We start from the raw sequence: 6,744 nt of genomic DNA, 5'->3' as shown, positions 1-6,744 counted from the left end.
GGCACATGCCTGTAATCCCAGCTACTCAGGAGGCTGAGGAAGGAGAATTGCTTGAACCTGGGAGGCAGAGATTACATTGAGCCGATATCACCCCACTGCACTCCAGCCTGGGTAACAAGAGCAAAATTTCGTCTGGGGGAGGAAAAAAAAAAGAATCTTAAAATGATACATTTCTTGCTTCCTGGCCTTTGTGCTGTTACCATATATTTTATTTCTACATATAAGTCTCACAATACATTGGTATTAGTGTTTCCATAGCAGTCAATTAACTTCTAAGGAGATTTAAAACATTATTTTTTAATTTACTTGTGTATTTACCATTTCTGGTACATTCATTCATTTGCATAGATCCTTATTTTGTTCTGCCATCATTTGGCTTCTGCCCACTTCTTTGAACATTCCTTGTAATTTAGGTGCTGACGGTGAATCATCTTTACCTATATTGTTCTAAAGATGTTTATTTTGTCTGCATTTTAAAAGATATTTTCACTAAGTTTGTAGTTCTTGGTTAACAGTTTTTCCTTTGCTTCTTTAAAGCAGTTATTTCATAACCTGTATAGTTTCTGATAAGAAGTCTGTTTTAATCCTCTGCATAATCTTTTGTTCTCATGCTTCTTTTCAAGTTTTTTTTTCCTTCCTGTAGGTTTTCAGGCATTTGATTAAAATGTGCCTGGTTGTGGTTTTATTTACATTTATTTCCTTTAGATTCATTGAGCTTCTTTAACCTGTGGATTTTTATCAAACTAAACAATATTTAAGCCATTTTCTTGAATAATTTTTTTCTGTCCCCCTCTCTTTACTCTGTCCTTTTGGGACACATATTACATATATTTTAGACCTCTTGATTTAGTTTCTCAACTCACTTGGGCGCTGTTCTCGCTTTTTAATTAATACTCTTTTCTTTTTGTGATTCATTTTTTATGGTTTCTATTAGTATGACATTAAGTTCTCCAGTATTTTTTTTTTATACTTTAAGTTTTAGGGTACATGTGCACAACGTGCAGGTTAGTTACATATGTATACATGTGCCATGTTGCTGTGCTGCACCCATTAACTCATCATTTAAGTATATCTCCTAATGCTATCCCTTCCCCCTCCCCCCACCTCACAACATGCCCTAGTGTGTGATGTTCCCCTTCCTGTGTCCATGTGTTCTCAATGTTCAATTCCTACCTATGAGTGAGAACATGCGGTGTTTGGTTTTTTTGTCCTTGCAATAGTTTGCTGAGAATGATGGTTTCCACCTTCATCCATGTCCCTACAAAGGATACGAACTCATCCTTTTTTATGGCTGCATAGTATTCCATGGTGTATATGTGCCACATTTTCTTAATCCAGTCTATCCTTGTTGGACATTTAGGTTGGTTCCAAGTCTTTGCTATTGTGAATAGTGCTGCAATAAAGTCACCTGTGCATGTGTCTTTATAGCAGCATGATTTATAATCCTTTGGGTATATACCCTGTAATGGGATGGCTGGGTCAAATGGTATTTCTAGTTCTAGAGCCCAGAGCAGTCGTCACACTGACTTCCACAATGGTTGAACTAGTTTACAGTCCCACCAACAGTGTAAAAGTGTTCCTATTTCTCCACATCCTCTCCAGCACCTGTTGTTTCCTGACTTTTTAATGATTGCCATTCTAACTGGTGTGAGATGGTACCTCATTGTGGTTTTGATTTGCATTTCTCTGATGGCCAGTGATGATGAGCATTTTTTCATGTGTCTTTTGGCTGCATAAATGTCTTCTTTTGAGAAGTGTCTGTTCATATCCTTCACCCACTTTTAAGTTCTCCAGTATTTTCTCCTTTATTCTAATATGCTTTTAATCCTATCCAGTACATTATTTTATTTCAGAGATCAGGTTTTTTTCTTTTCTGGAAGTTCAATTTGGATCTTTTAAAATAAATTTCATTTATCTCCTAATCATCTTTGTATATTTAAATTCTTAAACGTATTTGTAAGATTTATAATAGTGTTTAAAGATTCTTGTCTAACTAATTCAATCATCTGTATTTCTGACTGATTCTATGATTGATTTTTCTCCTGCTTAAGGATCATGTTTTCCTGGCATATTTCATGCCTAGTAAGTTTTTATTGTTGAATTTTGTTTTTTTAGGTGATAGATTATATTCTTATAAAGAAAACTAAATATTGTTCTAATGTGTAGTCAAGTAAATTGTGAATCAGTTTGGCCCTTTTAAAGGCTTGCTCTTAAGCTTTGCCATGGTGTGTCTACAGTCTTTATGTTGTAGCTAAGTTAGCACAGCTACTAAGATTAGATCCTTCTGAGGAATCTATCCAATACCTCAGGAGGGGTGGGCCTCTTCTCCACAGCTGCTGACAGCAAACTGTTCCTAACCCTTTGTGAGCCATGCGAATTTTTTGGTCTACTGATGACTGGTAGTTCTCCCATCCACGCCCAATTCAGTAAGACTTTACAGTTTGATTTTTTTGGGATATGACATAGAAACTGCTTCCTGCCAGTAAGCGACTGCAATTCTTTTTTGAGGGATCTGAGTCTTATGAGGCCAGTTACCCCATGCCTGAAACATTGCTAACATTGCTTTATATTTTTTTCCTGCTTTTGGTTGTTTAATGAGGAGAGGGACATTCCTATAGTAGTCAATCTTTCATGAGTGGAGCTTTGTTTATTTTAAACTGTAAAAAAGTGTACTGTGAGCTCTTGCAGGAAAGGACAATAAGGTCTTTGGAAATCTGGTGTTTCAAAATCGATTACGGTTAGAATATGAATGGTGGTAATTCAATTATGTTACAAATATGTGCATTTATGGGATTATACACAACATATATAAATGAGGACAAGATTTATTAATAAGCCTAGATAAATGTTTTTGACTGTTTTTGCGTCATCATTACCACACTAGTGAAGTATCTGCACCGATTGAAATCTCAGGGTGATTATGTTTTGCTCCAACAGAGAACATTTAAGCTTGATACGCATCTTTTAGTACTGTCATGGCAATATTCAGTTAATTTTTAAACATGCACTTTTGCATCTACTGTGTGGAAATTCCATTTATATGAAAAACTGAAGATTCAACCCATGTGAACACAAAACCATGTTTATAATACATATTCCTTGTTTGTATCCTGTAGAATATTCTTTCCTTATAGTATTGATAGATACTTGGTAGCAAAATTCGTGAAGTATGTGGTGAACAAATGTGAAACATCAAAAACATCAAAACAGTGTTCTGAACAAGAACTTTTATTTATCGATCTTTAGAGATGATAGACGAAGATATATGTGGGAGAAGGCAGAAAAGGTCTAGAATGTTCTAAATAATAAAGTAATTGTACCATCATAAATCTGAATAAGGAAGAAGAGAGGAGAATCAAAACAAGTTTGGAGATATGACTTTTCAAGGAATTTTAGAGAGGAACAGGGGAGAAAACTGGTGCCTCCATGTGGAGTAGGATTCAGAGATTTATATAAGTAAAGTTATGTTATTTTGTATCCCCATTATCTATGTCTGCAATAAATTTTTACTAAAGGACTACTACTTTCTAATGTTTTGAGTGAGATTTTCTTTGTTCTGTCTTCATGCTGAGATAAAATTTAAATTAAAATTTAATCTCAAGAAAGCCTAGCTTTATTTGGGTTATACAACATTAAACAGTAGGATTCTAGAAGCCTGTAATAAATGAATGTATACTTTGAGTTTCCAAGAGGAAATAAATGGGGATATCCAGCCTATCCCCATTTACTTAACTATAGAACCCTTTCCCCAGGAGAATTTTATGAAATTATTTTCTGAAGAATCATATTGAAGAAGAATGGCTTTAAAACTTGAACTCATTTAATTTCAATCCAAATGAAACAAAACTTTAAAGTCCTATATTAGTCAGCTCATGCTGACATAACAAAATACCATAAACTTCATGGGTAAAACAACATAAATTTATTTTCTTATAGTATTCAGGATGGAAATGCTAGGTCAGGGCACCAGCATCGTCTGGTTTTGGTGAGAGCTTTCTTCCTGGCTTGTAGAAGGCTACCTTGTCTCTGTGCGATCAAATGGCCTTTCCTGAGTATGCACATGGGGGCAGAGACAGAGTGGAGATATCTTCCTCTTCTGATATGGCCAACAATCCTATTGAACTAAGATCTCACATTTATGAACTCATTTTACATAGTTACCTTGTAAAAGCCCCGTCTCCATATACAGTTACACTGGTGGTTAGGGCTTCAGCGTATACATTTTGGGAGAACAAAATGCAGTCCATAGCAAGCATCATGGGCAGTACTGTTTATAAAAATATAATCATTATTTATGGCTTTCATTTTTACCTAAAATTAGTTCATGTGTGTGCTACTACAGAGATTTTAGTTATTAGTTTTAATTCTACATAATATTAGTATTTTTTTCTGAAGATTTTCAAATAAACTCGCACAATTGATATTTTTAGCAGGCACAATGAAGTCATAAGTAAGAATAAATAGAGAAAAGTTAGAAGGCAAGCTAGAAGAGGAAGAGTCATATTAATATTTTGTAGCCTACTAGGGTATAGATAATGACACCTCGTTAAAATAATAAAAATATTAAATTTGTAGACTAGTTTTTTACAAATGTTCATAAAAGTGAAAGGAAACCTAGCAAAATAGCAAATAATTTTATAATTTGTAAATGATAAGATGTTTTAAGATGTGGATTCATATACATAATAATATACACTATATTTGGATCAGGAAAAATGTAAAATAGGTAATAACAGAGATAGTATCTCATAGTTTTCAATGGTAACTATAAGAAATTTCAATAGTTTTAACATAATTTTAATGTTACAGGAATTGTCTCAACCAATTTAGACTTTTACACAGTAAAAAAAGGAAAAGTCAGTATTATTGAAGTAATTTGGTTAAAATAACCATATAAGCTTAGAATTCACCTCTAGAAACATTCACACTGTGAACTATGAATATTAATCTGCCTACATTTTTATCATGCTATTAAGCTATTTTAATGGATTTAATTATATGTAGGCAAAATAATTTTCAGAGACTATTTCAACCAACTAAGTAATGAACCCTCAAAATGTTACAAATAAATAACTTTATTTTTATTATTGTTAAAGGTAACACATATAGTTAAAAATAAAATAGGATACCTAAAGATGTGCAAATGCAAAAAAAAGTTAGAGGTTTCTAAAACAAGACGCAGACAAGTTGGTAAAAAAAAAAAAATTTCCTAAGCCTGAGGAAAAAGAATTACAATGAATACAAACAAATATGAATATTTATAAAATGAATTGTCTTTTTGGTATTTAGTTACACGTTATTTACTATTCTCCAACAATTTTGTAACAAAACATGCTATTTTATTGGAGTTTTGTTCACTATATCTGATGAGTTGCTTGAAATCTCTGTAAATTAATAAGTTCTAGTATTACAAAGAAACCATTTTAGGTTATTAAAAATCAAAGATTAAATTATATAGCTTAATTCATTAAGTAAATTCCTTAACCATGGTTAAAGAATTGGAATTTGTAAGGAAGGCCACAATAATCAGTTATTCCTTTATCATGCTCCTTTTTTTTTTTTTTTTTTTTGCAACTTTTCTGATTATCTGATCAAGTGTAGAGTCTATTTTTACACCCTTAAAACTAGGCTGACCCTACAACACATAAAGAAGGATTGAATAGAGCAAATATGAAGTTTTGTGACTTTTGAGTCTAGCTATTAACAGGCCTCTCACCCTCTTGGGATGTGGCACTTCTGGGTGGGAAAACTCAGATTCCTTTATGATGAAAGACCACATGCAGGCCAGACATGGTGGCTCATGCATGTAATGCCAGCACTTTGGGAGGCAGAGGTGGGTAGATCACCTGAGGTACGCAATTTGAGACCAGCCTGGCCTGTTGGCGTTCAATCAGGCTGGTGGGAAAAATATTAGAGCTAGCTATAGAGGTAGACATAAATCTTCTTAGAAGGCCAAGAAGTTTGCATAACTTCGGTAATAGATCTGGCTGAAGGCAGCCTGGTCCCTTTACCTTTAGTTAAACAAAGTAGTAACAAAGAAAGGCAGAATAGTTTACCTAGATAGCTTGTTTATTAATGTGGTCTTATGACTAACCTTTGATGCACCTTTGGTGCTTAAGTGCTTTTTACTTGGGAAGTCCACAATGTCAATTAACCTCTAATGGTGTTGACTCAAGCCTTTCTTAATTAATCTAACCGAATAAATGTGAGTCTCGCTGATGGAGGCCTTGGTTGCAACTGTTTACAATACTCAACAAGGAGTCTGTAAGAGGCTCGGACACCCTCAGCTGGACTGGCAAAGCAGAATATCTGTATATCACTGTACGTTATTCATCCCTCGCTGGGTCAGGGATCTGCAAGGGACAGACCCCCCACAACTGGTGCTGCTGCACTGGCCAACATGTTGAAACCCTGTCTCTATTAAAAATACAAACAATTAGCCGGGTGTTGTGGTGGGTGCCTGTAATCCCAGCTTCTCCTGAGGCTGAGGCAGGAGAATCGCTTGAACCTGGGAGGTGGAGTTTGCAGTGAGCCGAGATGTGGCATTGCACTCCAGCCTCGGTGACAGAGCAAGACTCTGTCTCAAAAAAAAAAAAAAAAAAAGACCACATGCAAAGAAAATCCAGCCTTACTAGAAGAAACTGGCACTGGATATGAGGTAGTGCCACTTTTATAAACAAATTTGTGGGGAAGATGACTGTATCTTCAAGAGTAAATTAGTAAATTCAGCCCAAATTGCCAACT

General features: G+C 34.8%; 1 annotated feature.

Moving 5' to 3' along the window:
- Positions 2,238–2,438: a silencer, noted in NCBI's record as "peak5441 fragment used in MPRA reporter construct". NCBI's record gives its function as "represses an SCP1 promoter by STARR-seq MPRAs in K562 erythroleukemia cells {active_cell/tissue: K562}" and the evidence as "EXISTENCE:reporter gene assay evidence [ECO:0000049][PMID:32103011]".

Source organism: Homo sapiens, chromosome 5 (assembly GCF_000001405.40).
Source record: "Homo sapiens chromosome 5, GRCh38.p14 Primary Assembly".
NCBI classification, from domain to species: domain Eukaryota; kingdom Metazoa; phylum Chordata; class Mammalia; order Primates; family Hominidae; genus Homo; species Homo sapiens.
Note: the sequence above shows the minus strand (reverse complement) of the source record. Positions and strands in the feature narration are given on the sequence as shown.